The sequence below is a fragment of the Homo sapiens genome, chromosome 5 (genome assembly GCF_000001405.40).
Source record: "Homo sapiens chromosome 5, GRCh38.p14 Primary Assembly".
NCBI classification, from domain to species: Eukaryota; Metazoa; Chordata; class Mammalia; order Primates; family Hominidae; genus Homo; species Homo sapiens.
Genome location: NC_000005.10, coordinates 122,963,862 through 122,990,043, shown reverse-complemented (window position 1 = coordinate 122,990,043; position 26,182 = coordinate 122,963,862). Strand labels below are relative to the sequence as shown.

The 26,182-nt window shown below is 39.0% G+C and overlaps 1 protein-coding gene across 10 annotated transcripts in view, besides 1 other annotated feature; it reads right to left on the bottom strand.

Moving 5' to 3' along the window:
* SNX24 (sorting nexin 24) overlaps positions 1-26,182 on the bottom strand; it is a 183,706-nt gene that overhangs the window by 39,275 nt on the left and 118,249 nt on the right. For 2 of the 10 annotated variants that reach the window (XM_011543352.2, XM_017009396.2), the window contains exon 5: positions 6,949-7,026. The exons of the other annotated variants lie outside the window; for them this stretch is intronic. In XM_011543352.2, the coding sequence (XP_011541654.1) occupies positions 6,994-7,026 (33 nt within the window). In that variant the 3' untranslated portion in view covers positions 6,949-6,993. The remainder of the gene's footprint in view (positions 1-6,948; positions 7,027-26,182) is intronic. 10 annotated transcript variants of the gene reach the window in all.
* Positions 3,382-3,451: an enhancer, noted in NCBI's record as "active region_23002". NCBI's record gives its function as "activates an Ori minimal core promoter by ATAC-STARR-seq in GM12878 lymphoblastoid cells {active_cell/tissue: GM12878}" and the evidence as "EXISTENCE:reporter gene assay evidence [ECO:0000049][PMID:35858748]".

Sequence of the window (26,182 nt, the reverse complement as noted above, 5' to 3'; positions counted from 1 at the left end):
TTGGCTGCAACAACAACAAAAAACAGTCAATGAAGTTGTTCACTAAAATACACAGGTAGGAATAGTAGCCTACTGGGACAGAACACAATAGCAAGAAAGATGAGAAATTAGGGCTGTCTACACATGGCTGGTAAGGACTACACAGGGGGTCCAAGCTGGAACCTGTTCTCTGAGTTCAGGGAAAGAAAAACATATGTACCCTAGCCCTTCTCCCAAATCTAACATTGAAATGAATCCTTCTATAACTTGGGAGTTAAATTACAGACATTTGTTCAGGGACCTATACACAAGAATGAATATACCCTTTTCTGGGAGTTTTCCAGATTACACCAGTCTTTTTGCATCTATGCAAGATCCAGTCTTCCCTTCTTCTTTACTAATGGAATACCAATTTTCTTGGGGTATGTGGCAAGCTGCCAAGCTAAAAATAACAAAGAGCAATATCAAAAACTAATGAAAATAATATACCCTGCCCTACTCTTCCCCAACATTTCCCAATAACACCTGCCCCCGCCCCCCCACCCGGTCCCTTAGCATGTGACACAGATCTAGCCAACAAAATGTCAGAAGAAGTGACTGGATGGGAAAAGTCAAAAAGCTTCCTTAAAGTGACTGGTCAGGCTGCAGTGGCCCCCATCTTTTTGCTCATTTCTCCACCCCTTTCCTCCTTCCTCTTGGCTAGAATATGGGCATGGTCTTTGAGCTTAGTTGTCATCTTATAATTATGAGGAAAAGGCCAAAAGAATCAAGGAAATGCAATCCCTGATAATCTTGAGCCAGTGAGCCAAAACCCACAACTACCTACCACTTTCCTTCTGAGTGCTTAAGGTTAAAACTCACTTTTAGTTAAGTCCTTGGATTTGGCTTTTTATCTATGGTAGAACACATAAACCCATACTGATAGAGCCCTCATGCTTCTGCAGATTGTAAAGTCCTGTTTTTGGCCCATAGAACAGAATACTAAGTAGCATGATTGCTATAAAAAGAGAGAGAAAGAGAAAAGAAAAAGAAATTCTGATATTCTATTTTTAATTTACTGCTTTAGTACTGGGTAGAACACTTAGGGGAAAAAAGAAAAAATAACGTTGATATGCTATTTTTAATTTACTACTTTAAAAAAGTCCATAACACAAATAATAGCATATGAAAAATAAAAAAGCAATTAGGTTCATGCACAGTCTATAAAAAGAAAAGGCCTAATACATAAAAAGTTTGTAAACCTAACTCAGCAGGTGCCAAGAACACCCATTACAGGACAGTAAAGAAATCAAGAATATAGGTAATGAGATGAACCTAAACAAAGAAAAATGTAAGCTGATTATCTAGAAAAATATCCTCCCAAATTTGGTCTTTTAAACAAATCATAGACTGTATCCCTATGGAAATGGAGTGTTTTGTTAAACTTACTTTACAAAAGAAATGGCCAAACCATTGTAGAATGAGCCACAGGGAATAATTTAGCATTGGCTGGTGGAAAAAAAATACAATTCTACTTTAATAGGTCTTTTTAATCACAAATTTTATGATGATTTAACAGCCTTCCATTAAGAGCAATTAAAGGGGGATAGCAAGAATTTACACTAATATTCTAGCAAGTTAAAATGTCTACATACATCTTTGAGCAAACGTTTCCTATCTTGAAGTTCTTAGCTGAGTTTGAGGGAGATATACTAATTTAATTAAAAAATAAAAAGCTGGACGATGTGCCTCTGGTATCTCAGGATCAAGTTTTTGAATTCACTTCTCCTCCCTGCCTATGGTTATCCCTAGTACACCCCCGACTAAGGAGCCAGACATCACTGGGGCTGGGCAGAAGCTCAGGAGACACAAAGGTACTCCTAAAAACAACAGATAAACCAACAACCTAGATAGCTTGTCAGGCCTATTTAACCACTCTAGTTGGCCAGACAAACTGTACCAGGCAGTGGTCTACTCAACCACCCTCACCTCAGTCTGTTCCAACCGTGTCCTGGAAAGGGGGGCAGGGAAGTACCTGGGAACACCTGACAGGCATGCTCCTTTTTCCTGAATAATTTAAAGAAAGAGAACATTTTCTTACATGGTTTTATTTACATTATGATTAACTTCTCTTTAAAAAGCTTGTATTTTATATGTAATCCACTTGTGTTGTAACTTCCTAGCCCCTTAATGCATGCACACAGGCCAAAGAAAGTATTTGTTCTATAGACTTGGTATGCAAACTCATTTATTCAGATCTCAAAAAGCACTATCTCTGTGGGCCAATAAGTTCCAATAAAGGCCTTCTGTGCAATGGTGTTGCCCCGCTACTATTGGCGAGACTTCCAATCTACTGACCCAGTACTTTCTGACTCCCATTAGCCCCCTCTAAATTTTCTGCCCTCTTGTCCAGCTTAAGGAGCTGTGATCTACCATCAGAATCAGTCCCCTGAACCACCTCCAAACCCATCAGCCTCTCTCCCTCTGCTGTACTCGGGACAGCTCAGTTCTGGCTGAATCCCAGCAATCTCTCATTCATGCCTCTACCCAAGCTGCTAAACACTGAGAAAAATCACAGAATACAAAAAAGACTGGTTTCACTTTAAATTTAAGCTCTTATCCTCAAAATATTGTCCAGAAATCTTGTTACTTTTCTCTAGAACAGTAGTTCTCAAACTAATCAGAATCGCCTAGAGGGCTTGTTAAAACAGTTTGCTTGGTCCAACCCAGAGAGTTTCTGATCTAGCTGGTCTTGGGTGGGGCCTAAGAATTTTCATTTCAAATAAGTTACCAAGTTTCTAGGTGATGCCGAAGCTACTGATCCAGGAACCACACTCGAAAACTATTGCTCTAGAAGAATCAGCCTTTACCCATTTTCAAAACTTATCCTCTTCTCCTTTTATCTCCCTCATCCCTTCCTCCACCCTCTCTCCCAGCTGATAACCACGCTTCACACTTCAGAGAATGCAGAAGCCACCTGGCTTGATCCTCCTCATCTTTATCCCAACAACTCTACCTATACTGCACTTCCATCGATCTTCTCCTCCTCCTGCTATAGCGGAGAAAACGTCCCTCCTTCCATCAGAAGCCAATTCCTATATCTCTGCTCTGGCTCTCAATCCACTCCTTGACTTTCTCAAATATTCATTTCTTTAGTTATTTTGCTCTTCTTTCTCCTAGTTATTCACTAGTCCCATCCATCCCTCCATCCATCCATCCATCCACCCACCCACCCACCCACCCATGCATTTACCTATCTGTCTCTTCACCTTTCCATCTCTGCTGAATCATTCCTATCAGCACATAAACATGCACTCTCACTATAAAACAACAGGAAAAAAAAAATCCCTTAGAGGCTATAGCCCATTTCTCTGCTCTTCATGGCAAAAGTTTTCAAGAGTGTTCAACCGATGCTGTTTCCCTTTCTTATCTCCAGTTCATTCACTCTTTCATGCTCTGCAAATTGGCTTCGGCTTCCACCATCCTCAGCTTGCCATGGCCACAGGTTGCTTTTGAGTTGCTAAATCACTTCTAACCTCACTTTACTCAGCTTCTGAGCAGTCACCACTCACCCTGAAAACCACCCTCCCACTTCTCTTTTTTCTGTGACTCTTTGGGTTTGTTTCAGATCACATTCTCACTCTCCTTTGTAGCCTCTTCCTTTTCTATCTGAACTCAAAATGTTGGGACTTTTCAAGGCTTAGCCAGCATCCTCTCCCTAAGTCCACTAACTGCCATGGATTTTAAAACCTTAAGGCTGATGAGGTGAAAATTCACATCTCCAGGCTAGACTTCTTGTCTGGGATCCAGACTCATCAAAACTAAATACCTATTTAACATCTCCACTTGAATTTCTTACAGACATCTGCAATTCAAAATGTCCAAAGCAGAACTCAGTATTTCTTTGAACAACAATAAAAAACCCTGCCTCTCTATGACCCATCACTGTCCACTTTCCTCATCTCTGCCAATGATAGCCACATCCACCCATCTGCTTCCTTTCTCTCACCTCTGACAACCAGGCTATCACAGCATCCTCTGGAGCTCCTCTTCCACTCATTCTTACTCTCTGATAACCTCTTTCTTGCTCCCTTATTTGTTTCCTTCAGAGTGCTAGCAATTATTTCCTTGATAGGTTTACTTGGCTTCTGTCCACTGGACTCCAGCTCCAAGAGGGCAGGGCTGAGTCCGCCTCATCATCACTGTATCTCTGCAGCAAAGAAAGGGCTCTGAACGCATGAGGGTTGTTCCAGAGGCAGAATCAGGGCCAAGAAAGGTTAAATAGTGAGAAAGCGAACTTTGGCTTAGTATAAAGAGAAACTTTATGCTGAAGTCTCCTCATGGAATGCTCTGCTTTGGAAGGCAATAGATGCCACCGCAACAAGTGTCTGACCCAAAGCAGCTGGAGGCCCAGTTCACATGAATGCTGAAGCAAGAACTTAGAGACTGATAGGAAATTAAGCAAGGGATTTGCTGAGGAAACAATAATAACATCTAATATCTTCATAACGTTTTATGGCTTGCTAAGTGGCCTCACATATAATGGGTCGCTTAATCCTCTCAACTACCTTTGAGGTAGATAAGCTCAAGAGCACTTTACAGATGGAAAAACTGACTCTGAGAAGTTAAATGACTTGCATTTCTTCCTAATAAACCAAGCCCAGATCCACCAAGTGGACAATCTCTGTGTCTTTTTGGGCAGGAGAGTTGAGAATCCAGGTCTTGAACTCTCCCTGAAGTGCTCCTAAGAGTCCTTCTCTCACCACCTTCTGGTCCTTCAATGGTCAGCTGTTCCCCCTCATCCTCTGGCCCAGGGCAGGATCCACAGTGCCTCTCTCAAGCTCTGGTGAAAGGTCATGCTGTGGCTGACTATGTACATAAGACTCAACCAAGGAGGATGCCACAGGGAAATAAATAAACACGGTCATGACATGAGATGATATGGTTATAAGTTACCACAAAATAAGCCATTGTTCATCTAAATCTTGGGAAAAATAATCCAAACAGAACAGTAATGCTCTCGCTTTGTATCAAATGGACTCTGCTACCCAAAGAAGTCCCTCTCTGACCTCTTTATTATGGCTCATTACAATCTCAACTTCAATAAGGACAAAAAAGAGAAACTAAAAACAGCTTGTTCACTATACCTTTTTTTCTTTTTCGTTTTTTCATTTGTTCACTAAACTTTTTAATGCATAAGGAAAAAAGCAGGCTAAAAATTAGGTTAATTTGTCTTTAGTTTTTAAATCCTATTATCCTAATAAGTGCTAAAAACTCATGTCAAAATTGCAAACATTTCCTGACTTTTTTTACACAGTCCACTACGTCTTCATTTCTAATAGAGGAAAATAGCTACTCACTAAAGCAATCTGTCTTGAGTACAATTTTGCAACTGGAATATAACTGAGTCAGACAGCAACCTGAACTCTGTTAAAGCATAACTTCAAATAATGCAGTGAGAAGAAGCTTCCCAACTGCGATAACTTTTCTTGTTTTGTCTCACTGATATTTCCTTATGAGGGTTTTTGGGTCAGAGTAAACTCCTGAGGGCTGATTGACATTCTCTTTGAAACTAATTACATTAAACAGCAGATGCCCACTTCAAGTTTGAGCAGGAGAGTACAAGACGTTCAGGGAATTCAGTGCAGTTGGGGTTAATGCTCTCATTTTTTAGGAGCTTCTTTAAGCTTAGACATCCTTTGCTCCATTAACTGTGTCATTTATGTAAAGAAAAAAGAAGGATCAATCTGATAGATTGAAGTTTAAAAGTATAAAATGCAGTGGATTTTTTTTTTCTGTATTGTAGCTATTCTAAGAATACAGTCTGAAATGCCTACATACTTTTAATTACATAACATGTTAGCTAATCATATTTTCAGGGAAAAAATCTGCTATTCAAGTTACAGCTTCCAACAGATTGCTGTGATGATCATATGGCACATAAGAGGGGAGCAAGCTACAGAGAGAAGAGTGATGGATCTGTGTCTGTGACTGAACTCTCCATCAGTAAACCCAGTTTTGATAGAATAGGCATTTCTTCACTAATTAATACTAATGATTACTCTGGAAAAAAACATTGATGCTGATGTTACAGTAAAGCAACAAATATCAATTATTCTTTAGTGGCCTTCTGTTAGTAATCTGATGACTATCACAATAATATGAATATTTAGCAAACCTAAAAGTACACCTTTTCAAACATACCAACTTCACTCTAAATATAAATAGAAGCAATACAGTCATAGTTTTAAAATATTTGCTCATTGTCTGGGAAACACATAGTGAGACCTCATCTCTACAAATTTTTTTAAAAATTAACAGGGCATGGTTGCACACGCCTGTAGTCCCCACCTACTCAGGTAGCTAAGGCGGGAGGATTGCTTGAGCCTAGGAGGTCAAGGCTACAGTGAGCTATGATCTTGCCACTGCACTCCAGCCAGGGCAACAAGATGAGACCCTGTTTCAACAACAACAAAAATTTTTCACTACTTTGTTGGTTATATGTGAAGGATTTTGATAAAGTCTGAATAGCCAGTCATTCTAACACTGAAAGCTAACTCTGAGTCCTGGCTAAGTCTGCTCTCATCAGTGACTCCAATGGAGTTGATTTTGAGATAAACAGAGTCTAAGGTAAATGGTTTATATTTTATGCAGATGGTATATGGTATAGGTAAATATTCAAAAATGCTTAAAAATCACAGGTTCTAAGTGTCTTAAGACAGAGAAAGAACAAAAGAGAAGAGAAATTATAAGGTGCCTTTTAGTTATGCAAAAGTAAATAAGAATATGCAAAATTTAAATTATATTCCATTTAAGAGAAAAAAGGAAGGAATAGAAGGAAAGAATAATCAAAATACAATCTAAATTGTTGCACTTGCAAAAAAAAAAAAGGCTGAAAAATCTCACTTGAGAATATGTCTCATTTACTTCCATCTTTGGGACTAATTATATAATTATTCACTTAACTATTGAGAATAAAATATTACTTACTGAAAAATAGCACCAGTGGTCTTATTTCCTCAGTTTCTTGGTGAATTAGGTGTGTTTTAGAAGCAGATATTCAAAATTCTATTTGGAGAAGCAGATCAATAACTACGGATAGCCTGCATTATTATTACCAGTACTAATACTATTAATACTATTCAAATGTTTTTTAAAAAAGAGTTAATATTTTTTCAAATAAAATATCCAATGCCTACACAATATTTAATGTATTATCCATTATAGATAATACAAGAAAATCTATGGACAGACTTAATTTTTATTATTCTTTTAAATTTAATGTCAGTTTTTATTCTACTAAAGGACTTCGCTGAAAGCAAAGTAAATTCTTTGAGCCACCTACAAAGCAAAGCAAACCCCTCCCCCTTTAGTAACTGTATCACTGTACATATTTCTTTCAAACACACATATTACATTGTAATAATCTGTTTAGGTATCTAAAAGGCCAACCTAAATTCCTCAAAGGCATTATGTGTTAACAACTTGTTCTGTGCTGGGCAGCTGCCACAGTAGCTTTCTCAATATCTACTGAACATTGGCATCTTTCTCCTAATTTGTTGACAGCATGCCCTATATTCTGATAACTACAAAATTTCATTTCATAAAAAATGCTTTTTATATCAGTTTTCATTTTAGATTACCCATAGGTCCCATTTTTTTCCAGTAGCACAAATAATTAAGTTGATTATAATTCTAAATTCTGTAATATAAAAAGTAGTTTAATTTGTCACAAAATACATTTTACATGCTAAATGCAGAATATGATTAAACATGTGTTCAAAGAACTGCTCAAAACAGAGGCTGAATAAATAGCAGTGGAATATGATACAACAGCTCCTTCAGTTTAACTCAAGTCCACACAGGAAGCACTGGCATGCCCTTGACATAGGAGATGCTCAAGAAATTGAGGTTCTCCTTCCTTTTCCCCCTAGCATTCACTACTACAGGGAATCAGGGACAAAATTAATACAGAAAAGGCTTCTATTATCTACCAGTCATTCTTCCCTGGAAAACAAATGTGTGTGCCAAAGGAAATGACAAAGGCACAAACAGAATGAACGTTACATTACTCTCTTCCGCTTCCTGCCTTCTATCTTTTTCTCTTGACTATCTGGAAGGGCAGGTTCCAAAATCCACATTTTAAGATATAGCCATAACCTTCCAAGGTGGTCTATATTCCAAGGACAAGCCACCTTCCAAACCTGAAATGGATGAGTGAGTAGAGTCAAAGACTAATGGATAAGAAAAGGAAGGCACTACCACTTTTAATCCCAGCTACTTGTGAGGCTGAGGCGGGAGAATCACTTGAGCCCGGGAGGCAGAGGTTGCAGTGAGCAGAGATCGTGCCACTGCACTCCAGCCTGGGAGACAGAGCGAGACTGCGTCTCAAAAAACAAACAAACAAACAAACAAAAACAAAACAAAACATGTATTTGATTTTTTAAATCTCAAGTTTATAATGGAAATTTCTTAAACTGTACAGACAAAAAAAGTAGATTCTATGGGCATGAGGCAAATATTGAGGCTGTTATAAATACTCTAAAACTATATTGTACTGATGGTCACACAACTCTGTAAATTTCCTAAAAATGATTTAATGGTATACTTATAATATGTGCATTTTATGCTATGTAAATTATACCTCAGTAAAACCTTTTTAAAAGTACATCTTTTTCATCTTCTCACTCTCCTATTGCTGATATTTAAGAGTCAAGTTGTCAGAGGATTTGGCTAAATACTAGAAGATGCTGACCAAATTTTTCCTGGGTCAGCCAAAAGACTGTTAAATATGGCTAATACTCAGTGTAGGGTGTTGTCAAGAGAATGGGGAGGACTTTTTCTGATGAAAAGCTAATTAAGCATACCACTTTAAATATATCTAATTTTATGTCAGGGTAGAAATACTACTTATCTACTAAAAACATACTAAATTGGCACAAATAACATATGTTTTGCATGAATTAAGACAAGTTCTAACCTTAATAATTTTGCTTTAATATTTTCACAATCAATACTTTGGCATGCAAATGGAGTGCTGGGAGCTTGGTTTAGAAGTATTCAAGTATATTCCCCACGATATCATCTGCACTTTAAGCTTACGGATTCCCTTTGACCTCATGGACACAGCTCTCATTTGTATGGGACAAAGCATGAGCACCGGCAATTTCAGAGGCAATGGCTCTCTGTTCCCATACTTGAACTGGTCTTCCACCAACAGCAACCTGTAGAGTGAAGGTCTTCTTTCTTTTCAACTTCCTTTTGAGTCTGACAAGGCTGATGCCAAATACTCTTTTCCCACCTTGGAAATGAAAGCTCATATTTCAGGGGCAAAGCATGGAGTAGGTATTCTCTGTCACACTAGATACTGGAAGGGGCACAGAGTAAGTAAATTAGTCAAGGCACACACCCGACTGAGCACACCAGCATTTCAAGTGTGCCTCTTGCACCTTAAACTCCTTCTGCTTGTCAAGACTGTCTCTTATGTGAAAACCTTGAGAAATTAGTTGAGTTTTCTACTACTAGAAGAAGAGAAGGTCAAAAATATGAAATGCAACTTCATTTTGTTATAGAAGAAAGTAAATTAAATTTCAACCCCAAACTCTTTATTGCCAGAGTAGGAGTGGATATTGGGAAGAGACAAAGCTAACATTTACTTGGGATCAAGCAAAGTGAACTTGCCTCTCTCCTCCACAAACAAGAAAAATAGCATACAATAAAACATTTCCATTATAAGGAATAACAGTTACTGAAATGCTTTTAAAACAATTATTTGTTCTAACAGGTTGGTTGTGAGAAGAACCCAGTAAAGTAGATCTGCAGAGTTCTGCTATTATGGGCAAACAGCTTCATGATAAATTTTTTGTTACTTATATTTAAAATTATAAATTGCAAAAAAAAATTGCAAAAAATTAAAGTTGGCTAAACTTGACTAATGTGTGTATTACTGAATAAAATGTATGTTTTATGATGTAAGTATACTTACTATTTCTTCATATTGTTTTTGACAAAAGGACTTTTGATATTTAATGAGTGTGGAAAAGGAAGGAAAAAACCCACAATCGGTAGGTTAGCCTACCTATCCTAGTTTTTGAGATATAAAGTCATTGTTGGACACAGCTTCAAGGAAAATGTTTATAAATTCAACATCTGCAACTACCTATTAAGGAAAGTCATTTTAAAAACAAATGTGGTTGCTAACAAAAGATTCGGGTGGACCGCTGAATAAATGGAGATGGCACAACTGGTAAACATGGAAAGGTGGGCTGTCAGCACAACTTGTATATTCATTTTTATTTAAGGCCAGAATGCTCAACGGTGGGCATTATGTGGTGTATCTAAAGATTACCTAATTTTACCCCGAAGGCAGGAGGAGAGGTTTTATTTAGTTTTCTTCAAATATCACATGCTTAAAATTAGTATTCTCTGATTATTACTGTATTTGTTATTCACTGGAGACATCTGCATAAGTGATGACCACAAATGTTCTTTCTTTAAAAGCACCAGGGCATAAAGTGGCCCTATCACATCTAATTATGTTAATTCAAGTTTTCATTTAAGTAGGTATGCACGGTTTCCAAACAAAATTTTTTTCTTTAGGATTTGGGGGTGGGCTCATAAGCCCTTCTTGGCTTCCACCCTGGTCCCCAGATCTACACCCCTTTTCACAATGCAGTGGGCATGCCGGGTTGCAGGCTGCTCCTTAACTATGGAAGCAAATCAATAGCAGCTGAATGCCATCTGCTTCGGGCCGCAGAACAGAACCAAAGTGTAAGCCATGCATCTTCCCTTATTGAAAGGTTATTTTATGCAAGTAAACAATTCATCGTCTTCTTGCACGCTTGATGCTCATTTACCACTTTGATCAATAAAATATGCAAAACAACAAAAAAATTGAATCCTAAGAGTAGTTCTGATGCCAGCGTGATAGTTAATCAATACCCGGCCTCTGTTCATGAGGGCAAATGGTGGGGGTACTACTATTGTAACCTGTGAAATCCAGAGTGGTAGACGTAGCTCTTTCAGAAAAGACTGTTTTAGAAGGGATATATTACATTTACCCTGTAGATTACACAGAATACATTCTCATTGAATTAAATCAAAACAGTAACATCAACAGGCTTGAATGTTACTGATTCAAGGCAGTAGTTCCCAAAGCCTGAGAAAAAGTAATTTTGGTTTATATGCCTTTTAGAATTTCAAAGACAAATATTGGATGAGATCACTGACATGGGCCTTTGGACAGCAACCTTTTCAGCTCTTTCTCAGCTCTGCCTTATTAAGTCTTGGTTTTCAATGTATTCATGTTTCAGGTGAACTCAGTTTTTCTTCTAAAAACAAACTGCTGTGGGAATTTCTTGTGCACTGTGTTTCTTTCAGTCATACCACAAGCTGCCTTATTACATTAAACCTCTTGACAATTGATTCAAGCAGAATACTTTCTCCCAACAAAGAAAACTATATCATCTCACAGATGCTACTGTATAAAAGCCCTCAATTGAAGACTGTTTCCTAGAAAAACTGAAAACACTAAAAAAGCTGGGAACTTTTCCATTTTAACTGGATATCTCCAGCTGAACTGTGAATTCTAGGGTAGCACAGGAATAAAAATAAGATAAATTAGGTATCTTTCTAGAAAGTCTAACAAGAAGTTTGATAGAAAAAAATATACACTGCCATGTGAAATTAGAACTGCCCCTGAGAAGACGGCTTTTGTTTTAGCATGTTTTCAGATTTTCTGTATGCTATAAAGTGACAAGAGTTACTTATTAATCAAATACTCTTTACTTTTCCAGATAACTATTACAAAACAGTTCAAAACCTAATCTTGTTATTCTTTACCCTGGTCTACTAAATTTATCACACTTGTAAACACTTCTCTAAACATTAGATATAATTCGTGTTATTCAATGAACATATTTTGTCCTAGTTTTTCAAATGTATACCAAAGTGCATTGTTAAAGATTAAATAATACATGGGGAAAATGAGTAATGCTATTTGTTATATAGGAGAAAAGAAAATAAGTATGAAAAGTCTTACCAGGATATCTTCAATATGAAAAAAAATTGAAACATTCCACCAAATTCTTATCAATGTTTGTATATCATTTCACATCAAAGACTATTACAAATATCTTACAAAATATTTGGCTGAGACTAAAATTTTCCCCAAAGTTCTCCATTATGAAACAGGCTAAATTTTATGGTGATTGTGGGAAGTAATTTCCTTGTGATATTCCTATCATCATAAGAACTCAAACAATAGAACTCTCTATTTCCAGCTATTACTTTAAAATCATAATCTTAGAAGTATACCTAATTCCTCTACTCTGATGTTTAAACACTATATATTCTTAACAATTTAAATACTTATTTAAGTCAAATAATTGTGATGAAATTAACAGCAACAGCATGACTATAGAAGTGCAGTAGCTTTGAGTCAACCAGCAGCAAGGGTATAATTTAAAGGCAGAAATTTCCAGTGCATGCACCGTTAGCCACAGTGAACCTGTTACTGCTCTAAAGGGAATTGTTTGCCTCTTATTAGATTTTCTACAGCACAGCCATAAGTGATAAATGTACTGCTGTACTCACTGTCAAGTTAATCAATGCTGCCAAAGTTTTGTTGACCTAACAGTAATCCATAAAGTGAGCAGCATTTTCTCTATCCCTATGACATCTCAGTCCACAGAAGGGCTACGAATCCAAAAGTAGCTTCTTATGAGAAAGTGTATGTATTGGGAAGGGGTGGGGGTGGGTTGGAGCAAGAGAGGGTTGATAGATTGGGTGATTTTTAAAATTAGCAGGTATTATGGGTCCCCTGTTCCGATGAAAAAGCATTTAAGACCACAGCCACAAGTAAAAATTCACTTTTAATGTTTAAAACCCTAATAAATGAATAACTCTATGAATAAAAGATGGTTTCTTCCACAACCCCATTTCTTCACTTCAAAGGAAAACAAAGTACACCAACCCACACCTTCAAGAATCTCAAAGCAAAATAACCATTCCTAGTGTATGGTCTATGCCTGTCTACAGTGCAATGCACTACCAAATCCAGTACAGGGCACCAGTAATAAGAATGGTAATGTGGATAAGAAAAAAAAAATCCAAATTTTGCTCCACTGTAAATCAGAGAATGTGAAAGACATACCATTAGAAAAGGGAAAAGAAAGGAAACAACAGGAGAGGAAAAGCTGCCCTGCAAACAAACCGCTGCCATGCTCTCACAAGCAATCATAGACATATGAAATATGAATTGCAATTGATTTTTCTTCCTGGGGTCACTGTGCTCTGCGTTTTACGCACTCTAGGCATTTATTTGGGCAGCAAACTGACAAGTTTTTGTAGAATGCCCTCAGCAGTGTAATCTTTGCTCAATCACGGGGACTTCATCGTGGCTTCTCTTCCTTGACACTTGTCCCTCCCAAAAACTCACTGGCAAGGGATTCCTTGATAAAGACATGGAACAATACAATTACTGGTGTAAAGGGCTGGCAGAACCTGACCAGGGGATACTAGCAACCTTTTGTGTGCCAATGAAAAATAAATAGCATCAATCTGGAAGAGTGACTTTCATCCTTGTACTTCTACAGCAAATTCTCTTATTTGGCTAGTGATAATATGGCACAATTACTAAACTCATGTTATTTGTCTTGCTAAAAGAAGAATAACAACAGAAAGTTGTGGCTATGAGAATAAATAACACAGGTTTCTTACACTTAAACAGCACTTTAAACAACTCCAATCATAAAAAGATAAGATCTTTTTGCCTGTTTTTTTTTTTTTTTTTAATGACTGAGTGATTACAAGATTTCCCACATTTTGGTCTTCACGGACCTCCAAATTGTGAATGTTACTGATCAGAAGACAAACACTATATTAAAAAAAAGTGTCTCTGGAGAATTTCCCATATTTCTTCCTATATCAGCCATAGGTGTTGGACATCTTTCCTTATCAGAATACATACATTTAAAGCATTCTTTGGAATTTCCATGGAGCATTTTGTAAATCTTTCCACTATATGAATATTCCAATACATTTTTAACCAAATCCCCTCTTATTGGGCAATGTTAATAATTATATTGCAATGAAAATGCCTTACATACAGCACGGCCAAATTATGTAAGAATAATTGTAAGACAGATTCATAGAGAGGGAATTGTCAAGTTGGTTTCTCAAAAGGTTGCTACAATTTCAGTTCCCTTAAAGGTATATGGGAATGATTATTCCTTTGTACCCTTACCAATGATGGGCACAAATGTTTTGTTTTAATCTTTGCAGATCCAAAAGTTAATACCTTATCTCATTTAATCTACCATTTCTTGATTAATCAAGTATCTTTTCCCATTTACTGATCATTTATAATGATTTTTAAATGAATGAATTCTGCCAATTTTCTTATTAGATTGTCTTCCTCCTAATGATTTGTAAAAGCTCTTTGCATATCATAGGAATCAGATCTTTGTCATATGTCTTGAATATATTTTTTCAGTCTTTTTGTCTTAGGATTTGAATTTGTGGTGACATTTTTGCTGTACAAAATTTAAAAATTTTTATGCCGCTTAATTTCAAAAGTTAAATATATCAAGTAATACAGAAATATCCCTATCAATGTAGAGAATATAATACAATGAAATACTACATAATGAAATCATGCAGACATGACTCATTGAAATATAGGATTATGTTCCAAGCTATCAAAGAACAAAAAAAAAACCATAAATTTATTTTCAGCAAACAAAAAGAAGGATTAAAATAATATCAAATATCATCAAAACCAAGTATGTATCTGGCAGCCTTGGGACAACAATCAAGGAGGATTGAGCTAAAGTTAGGTGACACTGTGGGGAGCCCAGATGGGTGACATACAGGACTGATAATCTGGTGTGGAGAACTAAGACCAATACCATAAGAGCTATAACAGAAGGAAAAATGTGATGGGGTAATGGTCAACTAAAGTGCATTAAGGTTTAAGAATAGCACACCTGGATGTGGAGAATCAAGAAAAGTCTGAGCTGACATTGATTCCAGAGGGCCCAAAACATCATTGTGGTCCTCCAGTTAAAGTAGGGGCTTACGGAGGTCAGGTAATTAATGGAGTTTTAGGTCCACTGATTCCCCGGACTCATCCTGTGGTCATTTCCCCAATGCCAGAATGCAGAATTGGTATAGACATGATTAGCAGCTGGCAGCACCCACACATTGGCTCCCTGACTGGTAGGGTGAGGGCAATTATGGTGGGAAGGCCGAATGGAAGCCGTTAGAGCTGCCTCTACCTAGAAAAATAGTAATCAAAAACATCACATCCCTGGAGGGATTACAGAGATTAGTGCCACCATCAAGGACTTGAGAGATGCAGGGGTGATTTCCACCACATATCCATTCAACTCTCCTATTTGGCCTGTGCAGAAGACAGATGGATTTTGGAGAATGACAGTGTATTCGCATAAGCTTAGCCAAGTGGTAACTCCAACTGCAGCTGCTGTACCAGATGTGGTTTCATTGCCTGAGCAAATTAACACATTTCCTGGTACCTGGTATGCAGCCATTGATTTGGCAAATGCCTTTTTCTCCATTTCTGTCCATAAGGCCCACCAGAAGTAATTTGCTTTCAGCTGGCAAGGCCAGCAATACACCTTCACTGTCCTACCTCAGCGTACAACAACTCTCGATTTTGTGTCATAATCTTGTTCACAGAGATTTTGATCCATTTTCCCTTCCACAAGGTATCACACTGGTCCATAACACTGATAACATTATGCTGACTGGATCCTATAAGCAAGCAGTAGCAAGCACACTGGACTTATTGGTGAGACACTTGCATGCCAGAGGTTGAGAAATAAATCTGACTAAAATTCAGGTACCTTCTACCTCAGTGAAATTCCTAGGGGTCCAGTGGTGTGGGGCCTGTTGAGATACTCCTTGTAAGGTGAAGGATAAGTTGCTGCATTTGGCCCCTCCTACAACCAAGAAAGAGGCACAATGCCTAGTGGACCTATGTAGATTTTGGAGGCAACACATTACTCCAGCCCATTTATTGAGTGACCCAAAAGGCTGCCAGTTTCGAGTCCAGAACAGGAGAAGGCTCTGCAACAAGTCCAGGCTGTTGTGCAAGCTGCTCTGCCACTTGAGCCATATGACCCAGCAGATCCAATGGTGCTTGAGGTGTCAGTGGCAGATAGGGATACTTTGGCAGGCCCTCATAGGTGAATTACAGCAAAGGCCTCTAAGATTTTTGGAGCAAGGCCCTGCCATCATCTGCAGATAACTACTCTCCTTTTGAGAGACAGCTCTTGGCCTGTTACTTGGCTTTTGTAGAAACTGAACGCTTGACTATGGGTTGCCAACTTACCATGCAACCTGAACTGCCTATCACGAGCAGGATGCTTTTTGATCCATCTAGCCATAAAGTGGGTCATGCACAGCAGCTTTTCACCATTAAATGGAAGTGATATATACGTAATCAGGCTTGAGCAGGTCCTGAAGGCACAAGTAAGTTACATGAGGAAGTGGCTCAAATGCCCATGGTTCCCACTACTGCCACCCAGCCTTCTCCTCCCCAGCCTGCACCAATGGCTTCACAGGGAGTTCCCTATGATCAGTGGAAGAGATGACTAGGTCCTGGTTCACATATGGTTCTGCATGATATGCAGGCACCACCTGAAAGTGGACAGCTGCAGCACTACAGTCCCTTTCTAGGACAGCCCTGAAGGACAGTGGTGAAGGCAAATCTTCCCAGTGGGCAGAACTTTGAGCAGTGAACCTGGCTGTACACTTTGCATGGGAGGAGAAATGGTCTGATGTGTGATTATATACTGATTCACGGGCTATAGCCAATGGTTTGGCTTGATGGTCAGGGACTTGGAAGAAGCATGATTGGAAAATTGGTGACAAAGAAATCTGGGGAAGAGGTATGTGGATGGACCCCTCTGAGTGGTCAAAACCTGTGAAGATATTTCTATCCCATATGAGTGTTCACCAAAGGATGACCTCAGCAGAGGAGCATTTTAATAATCAAGTGGATAGGATGACTCGTTCTGTGGACACCACTCGGTCTCTTTCCTCAGCTATTCCTGTCATTGCCCAATGGGCCCATGAACAAAGTGGCCATGGTGTCAGGGATGGAGGTTATGCATGGGCTCAGCAACATGGACTTACACTCAGCAAGGCCGACCTAGCTATGGCCACCACTGAGTGTCCAATTTGCCAGCAGCAGAGACTATCACTGAGCCCGTGATATGGCACCATTCCTTGGGGTGATCAGCCAGCTACTTGGTGGCAGGTTGATTATACTGGACCTCTTCCATCATGGAAAAGGCAGAGGTTTGTCCTTACCAGAACAGACACTTACTCCAGATATGGGTTTGCCTATCCTGCACGCAATGCTTCTGCCAAGACTACCATCCATGGACTCACAGAATGCCTTATCCACAGTCATGGTATTTCACACAGCACTGCCTCTGATCAAGGCACTCACTTTACAGCTAAAGAAGTGCAGCAGTCAGCTCATGCTCCTGAAATTCACTGGTCTTACAATTTTCTCCATCATCCTGAAGCAGCTGGATTGACCGAACGATGTAACGGCCTTTTGAAGTCACAATTACAATGCCAGCTAGGTGACAATACTTTGCAGGGCTGGGGCAGCTCTCTAGGAGGCTGTGTATTCTTTGAATCAGCATCCAATATATGCTACTGCTTCTCTCATAGCCAGGATTCACGCGTCTAGGAATCAAGGGGTGGAAGTGGAAGTGGCATCATTTACCATCACCCCTAGTGACCCACTAGCAAAATGTTTGCTTTCTGTTCCCTCGACATTATGTTCTGCTAACCTAAAGGTGTCAGTTCCAGAGGGAGGAATGCTGCCACCAGGAGACACAACAATGATTCCATTAAACTGGAAGTTAAGATTGCCATCTGGACACTATGAGCTCTTCCTACCTCTAAGTCAACAGGCTAAGAAGGGAGTTACAGTGTTGGTTGGGGTGACTGACCAAGACTATCAAGATGGAATCAGTCTACTACTCCACAATGGAGAAAGGAAGAGTATGAGTGGAATACAAGAGATCCTTTTGGATGGTTCTTAATATTACCATGCCCTGTGATTTAAGGTGAATGGGAAACTACAACAGCCCAATCCAGGCAGGACTACAAATGGCCCAGACCCTTCAGGAATGAAGGTTTGGATCACTCCACCAGGTCAGGTAAAAAACCATGACCCACTGAGGTGCTGGCTGAGGGCAAAGGGAATACAGAATAGACAGTAGAAGAAGGTAGTCATCAATACCAGCTATGATCACATGACCAGTTGCATGAATGAGGACTGTAACTGTCACATTTCCTCCTTATTTTTAACAGAACATGTTTGTGCAAGTATACACTTAAGAAAATATCTTCATTTTATTTCCTTTCTTTTTCCCTTATCATGTGATATAAGATAAATGGATTTCTTATCAGCATTTAAATGTTAACTTTATGTAATAACATTTAGGTTAAGATTAGTGAGCTTCTGATTGCATGAAGAATAGCTGTATTACGTTACACATAATTATGACCTCATTATTGTCTTTATTTGAAGATTAAGTATGATTTCAGGAGATGTGTATGGGTTCAAGTTGACGAGGGGTGGGCTTGTGATGGTTAATACTGAGTGTCAATTTGACTGGGTTCAAGGATGCAAAGTATTGTTCCTGGGTGTGTCTGTGAGGGTGCTGCCAAAGGAGATTAACATTTGAGTCAGTGGACTGGGAGAGGCAGACCCACCTTCAATCTGGGTGGGCAGCATGTGATCATCTGCCAGCGCAACCAAGATAAAGCAGGCAGAAGAAGGTGACTTGCTGAGTCTTCCAGTCTTCATCTTTCTCCCATGCTGGATGCTTCCTGCCCTTAAACATCAGACTCCAAGTTCTTCAGCTTTTGGACTCTTAAAGTTACACCAGTGGTTTGCCAGGGGCTCTCAGGCCTTTGGCCAGAGACTGAAGGCTACACTGTCAGCTTCTCTGCATTTGAGGTTTTGGGACTTGGATTGGCTTCCTTGCTCCTTAGCTTGCAGAGAGCCTATCGTGAGACTTCACCTTGTGATTGTGTGAGTCAATTCATCTTAATAAACTGCTCTTCATACATACATCTATCCTATTAGTTCTGTCCCTCTAGAGAACCCTAACACAAGGGTGTACTGGAAATAAGCCTGTGGGGTGCCTTGGCAAACAGAGATGAGAAAAGAGGAGGGTACAGGTACAGGGTCTATAATCACACGGGCCAAGTCAAGAGGTTAGTTAGTAAACTAGTGTGGCTGACACATAAGATTTGTGCAGAATATGGCCAGGCGCAGTGGCTCATGCCTGTAATTCCAGCACTTTGGGAGGCCAAGACGGGCGGATCACGAGGTCAGGAGATGGAGGCCATCCTGGCTAACACGGTGAAACCCTGTCTCTACTAAAAATACAAAAAATTAGCCGGGCGGGGTGGCGGGCACCTGTAGTCCCAGCTACTCGGGAGGCTGAGGCAGGAGAATGGCGTGAACCCTGGTGGCGGGGCTTGCAGTGAGCCAAGATCATGACACTGCACTCCAGCCTGGGCGACAGAGCGAGACTCCGTCTCAAAAAAAAGATTTGTGCAGAATAAGGCTGGAATTCCGAATACCTGGCCTAAGAATATCACAATTTTGTAGTTGGCAAGGAGCCACGAAAGGTTTTCGGTAGGTAGTTATCACGATCAGAGATATATACCCCACAAGCAAGAGTATGCCGCATTCTAAACGGGAAAGGACTTTAAAAATAAAGTTTTTAGAAATAGAGCAGTTCATTTAATAAACTATAAACAAGTAGTCTAGGAAGAATATCTTCAAATTAAAAAGTTCAGTAGGTAGTTTGGTAGGTAGGCAACTAGATATCATGAAAAGGAATATCCACCCAGAAACTCTGAGAGTAAGCCAGAGGACCCAGAGCAAATGAGAAAACTGCCATGATGATCTTAGAGGAAAGGAAAAAAGCAGTAAACAACAACGGCAGCGGCGAGGACAAACAAGGAAGGCACTCTTTTGACTAATCACAAATAGCTTCCAGGGCACAGTCATGGGCCTGAGTTTAGTGAAGAGAGTAGTTTTTACAAAAGAACTAAGAAGGGCCCAGATTTTTCCAAAATAGTACAAGAGAGGCCCGTGGAGAAAGTCTTGAATAGGGGTAGGTGGGTGGGTGGTGCAGAGACAAAGAATAATAATGCCTGAAATAAGCAAGCCCACAAGCAGCACCCTGGGTGCGACGGTGCTGAATTCGGTAATGGATGTGGAATATAAAGAAGGTCTCACTGGGGCAAGAGGGATCCAGGATTAGTCTCCTATCGTGAATGTTTTAAAATAATAACAGAAACAGATGATCAGAGTTCCAACATCATATCCACACTGCTCTGATGTCTTTCCGGAATAATACTGTGGAATATCCTCTGATATTCCAGGTGTATGAGAGATAAAAAAAGAAATGTCAATTTATTTGTGTATCAGTTACATGAAAGGCACTCTGGAACAAGAGATGTTACGATTTCATCCTGAATCCTGCAAGGGTCGGGAAATAGCAAAAATGGAATACTAGCCACAATTCCCTCTCAGAACACCACCATCCTCTGTGGAAAAAGTAAAGTTTTTTTTTTGAAAACCAATATCTGTTGTCTAAATGGAGACAAGAAAAAGTAGAGAAGGCAAAACCAGGAAATGTTTTAGAAAGTGTTAGACTTTCTTAAGACCTTAACTCCATTGCCACAACTAGAATTCACTCTGGTTTCAGCTATGTGGAAGTGAGGCCCTTCATCTAGCCTGAAAATAACCCACCACTTACACCCCACAAGCAAGAGGTGGACACATTCTGAATGGGAAAGAACTTTTAAAACACAGATTTTTGAAAACAGAGCACCTTATGTAATAAATTATAAACAAGTTATAAATAAATTATAAACAAAAAGAATATCTTTAAATAAAAAGGTTCTACACAGTCTGTTACTACACTATTTTACTTAAAACCTAGAGTAGGAGGTTCCATTCAGGATGGAACAGTGTTAGACCAGTATTTTCCAAACGTTTTTTATCATACACTTCTCCAATGTAAAAGAACCCTAACATATTTAGGTTATTTATATTTAACATATTTAGCATATTTAGTGCATATTTAATTATACCTGATATCAAGATACTACTGTGCCAACTAGATACCGTATAAAACACATACAAAAAGATATTTTAAAATAATATGAAGATGAAGTAATAAACAAATTTTATTTTATTGTATCTATTACTGGTACAAAAAACCCTGCTGTTCTTATTCTAATATGAGTAGTGATAATATTTTAATTTGTGAGTACTGTGAATAGATATGCTCTATTAGGTTGCAACACAGTGATTGCTGTTGCTTGTGTTCAACAGTGACTGAAAATTCAGCTTATCTCATCAATACCTGGTTTTAATGACTGCCATTGTCAAAATATCTTATGAAGACAAGTAGACCCAACAACTGCACTTGCTAAATCACAATACTTATTCTTTCAATTCTGTCCACCTAAAATACAAAGATTTCCTGATGAGATTTGGTCAGGAAATTGCCCTTCTTGATGTCACACAGTTGTTCTTTACAGAACAATGGGAAAATGTTGCATTTAAAACAATTTGAGGTCAAAGACCCACCCAAACTCTTCCTATGAAACATTTTAAACAGGCTAAAAATTCTACTTCCAAGTTTTTTGGTTTTTGTGTTTTGAGATGGAGTCTCGCTCTGTTGCCCAGGCTGAAGTGCAGTGGCATGATCTCAGCTTGCTGCAATCTCCGCCTCCCAGGTTCAAGCCATTCTCCTGCCTCACCTTCCTGAATAGCTGGGATTATAGGCGTGCATGCCACCACGCCCGGCTAACTTTTGTATTTTTAGTAGAGATGGAGTTTCACCATGTTGGTTTTGAACTCCTGACCTCAGGTGATCTGCCTGCCTCGGCCTCCCAATCAAGTTTTAAGGGAGGTAGAGAGAATTTTATAGGTTACACACATTCATTCTGGCAACAACATCCCATAATAATAGACATTTTTAAAAACATCCATGTTCAAATTATTCTCTCCAAGATTTGTTTTCTTTCAAAAGTCACCTACTTTCCCACTTGGTGTCCGAAGGGCCTTTACTCTGAAGGGTCAGATTAAGGGAGGGCTGCAGAGAACTTTCAGGAGGACTTGCAGAAGCGACAGCGCAGGTGCTACTGCCATTCACGTGAGCTCGTGGTTTAATCTTCAACCGGTGGTTTCCCAGCAGGACTCCTGGTAAGCCATGTGTGCCTTTTGTGAGGTTTAGGTGAATGCAGATAATATAACTCATAAGTCCACCTATCAGGCCCCACAAATCGCAGTGGGCTCTAATGAACAAGTCAGGCCCCTGGTTGTGGGGATGCCCGTATCAAATGTGACCCCAGGCAGTCTGACATTTCAACTTGTGAAAGTACTGTTATCGGTCTAAATGGTATATTAATAAAGCTTAATCCACCTTTTTATCAGAGAAAAATAAACAGAATGGCAAGTTTCCTGGCTGCTTTCTGCTCCCCAGGGGATCATTGTACATGGTCCACCTTGGAGACACGCTAGTGAGAGGGCAGCACGTGCTGCCCCTCAGGTACCAGCTTCCCACAGGCGCTCATCAGATCGGCTCCCTTGAACACCAGGGTCTGAAAGAGGTTCAAGGCAATTTCAGTGTGGTTGCTACCACGTTGTCTACTGAGGAAAACTGATGTATTTTACAGATAGGCTTACACCTGTGGTTTTAAACAAAATAGCTCATATTTAGGCAGACCGACTTCCAATACCAGATGCTGCTGCTGAGCTAGTATGGTGGTGAGGGCTAGGAGATAATAAGGGTAAAGCACCTGCAGAGAGTCTGGCCCAGCACAGGTTCTTAAAAGACGTTTATTTTATGAATTAATGAATGCGTGAGTGGGTAAAAGATTCCATCAGAACTTTCTAGTCATAACACTCTGCATCATCTTTAAAATTTCTGCCTTGTATATTCCTAAGTAGCATTTTAAATCAGTCATGGTTTTAGTCAGTGAGATGGTTCCTGAAAGAATATTTTCAAATTTAATTTTCATGACTAAATACTTAAGACTGGGCATTAACCTCCAGACTCCTTGAATTCCTGGGGACATTCTGGGGTTTGAGGAAAATGAGGAAAAAACACACAAGCTAAATATAGCCCAGATCTGAGGAAAAAATGGTAGCTACTCTTTATTGTATGCCTGTTATATTTTAGGAATTAGATGATGCTTCATGTATTTTAGCTAATTTAGTCATCATTAACAACTCTATGTGGTATATCTTTTTTTCTCTCTAGTAAGGAAAGGAGACTAGTGCTCAGCAAGGTTAAGTAACTACCCTAGTTTATAGGGCAGAGTGGAGACTCAGGGCTCTGAATCCACATCTTCCTTATGCTGGGCCTTGCTTTTCCATTCAAGTCCTTACTATTGCCTATCTGCCCAAACTGCCACCAGCCTCTAGTCTAGGGGTCAATTACAGCCTAACAGCCAAATTAGGTCTGGCTGCTGCCTTTGTAAATAAAGTTATGTTTCAACACAGTCCATCTCTTTTCTTTATGTATCATCTATGGTAGCTTTTGCACTACAATGGCAGAGTGGAGTAATTGCAACACAGCCATATGGCTCACATGGCCTAAAATATTTACTATCGAATCTTTCACAGAAAAAGTTTGCTAACTTCAACCAACATGGCACATGTATACCTATGTATCAAACCTACACGTTGTGCACATGTACCCTAGAACTTAAAGTATAATAATAAAAAAAAGAAAAAGTTTGCTAACTTCTGCCTAGTCTAGACATTCTTGTGTTTGCAAGTCTATCCCTTCCTATTAGAGGGACAATATGTACTTCTTTTTAATTTAATCATTTCCTCTTTTCCAAATACAAGGGTCAACTCTGATTCAGAATATGGCAAATGTCCTTCTTATATAACTGTAGATTTTGGAAAAAAACAGTTTTTGGCACTAAAAATCATAGGAAATACGATAACATTTAATCAATTTTCCTTTTTGATATGCCAGAGGTACAAATGACACAGTTACCATGCCATAAACCGCAAGATTCATTAACAATGTTGGTTCACATTCCCTATTATAAGAAATCTAGAACTAATTGCTCTCCATTAATCTGGCTCCACTCTTTGATAGCTTATTTATCAGATTGGGAAAGATAGATTTAATAGCGCTTGCTTGAAACAGGTTCTTTAATTGGAAACATCACAGCATTTAGTTCACTTTGTACTCTAGTAATTAAGAACAATTTGGAAAAGTGTTGTTGATTTTTTTTACACCATTGTCTCCTTGATTAGATTTCCGAAGGTCCAGACAAAACAAATGACAACACTAGCTAGCACTATCGGTACAAATAAAAGCCCAACAGCCAAATTACTTACTATGAGAAATGTGAGCCATCCCCATCCATTTCGTCACTGTCTTACATTTATTTCCCCATATGCTTGTCTCTTGTATAGGTAAGTGGCAATTTCTCTTATAAAAGGCATCATTTTGCACCTACCTTTACACAATTATCTTTTCTCCAAATAAGCCAAATCAACAGAAGAAATTATTTTTCTTGATTAAGCACCCACATTTCTCTTGGGAGGGAACAAAACAAACAATTAATCTTTCCTTATTTGTTCTCAGAAGTCCCTGACTCTTTAAACTCAGGCTATCCAGGTACCTGTGGCAGCCAGTCGGCAGCAATTAGGCCTGAGTGGAAAATGAATGCACTCCAGGCTGAGGGCCTAATCTGCTGAGAGTCTGTGTGAGAGGGCAAGGTTACACCAGGAAAATTCCCTTGTTGTTGGAACACTGTTCAAAATTACTACCTGACTTCAGCATAATTAACCAGGCTTGGGAATTTATATGAACTAAGTAATTGGAAAGAATTAGCAAGAGATATGTACATTAATCTTTACCAGTTACACAGTGTTTAATGAAATTAAGGGTCCTGTGCTCACTCTTGACTTGCTTAGTTTGCACACTTTCTACTTCACCTGTAGAACAAGGAGAATATGCTACATGAAGATTAAAACAAAAAAACCAACACCTCCAACCAAACACAAGAAAAAAATTCTAGGAGAACTAGAAACAACCTAAAAAATTCAATAGCAGACTGTTAAATAAAATATAATGCATCCACAGTATAGGATATTATGGAGCCTTTGTTAGAATTGTTTTACAAAAGAATCCTATTACCAAAAAAATCTATTAGGAATACATGCTAAAGTATTCATGGATGAAAATATGATATTTGGCAGCTTCTTCAACATAATATGGAGGGAATAACTGAGGAATATAGAAAAGATTTCCTGAGTTGATCATTGTTGAAGCCGTATGATAGGAATCTGAGATTTTATTTTTATACTTTTTATATATTGAAAATTTCCATAATAAAAAAGTTAGTATTTAAAAACCTTATCTTACAAGGATATGTAATACATAGTAAATGCATATGGTACATTTTTAAGTTAAAAGAGGAATTTACAAAGCATTATAGATGATATAATATTTGAAAATATATTATTATAAACATGCACGAGAAAAAGACAAAGAAGGCATACTATAATTTTGACATTATGGGCCACTATTAATATTTATTAGTTAGGAGCTGGCCTGTGAATTGTGAGGTGTTTAACAGCATACCTCTACTTACTACATGCTAGTAGCACCCCATCCTCAGCTGTGACAACCACAAGTGTCTCTAGACGTTGCCAAATGTTCCCTGTGAGGCAAAAACTGTCCCTGATTCAGAACTATTGTTCTTTTTTTTTTTTTTTTTTTTTTTTTGAGATGGAGTCTTGTTCTTGTCGCCCAGGCTGGAGGGAGTGCAATGGCAGGATCTCGGCTCACTGCAACCTCCACCTCCTGGGTTCAAGCGATTCTCCTGCCTCAGCCTCCCAAGTAGCTGGGATTACAGGCGGCTGCCACCACGCCCAGCTAATTTTTGTATTTTTAAAGTAGAGACGGGGTTTCGCCACGTTGGCCAGGCTGCTCTCGAACTCCTGACCTTGTGATCTGCCCACCTCAGCCTCCCGAAGTCCTGGGATTACAGGCATGAGCCATCGCGCCCGGCCCAGAACTATTGTTCTAAGTGGATGAATTACAGAAAATTATTTTTGTTGTTTGTTTTCCAAAGATGTTGGATATGTGCATATATATGTATTACATAGTGA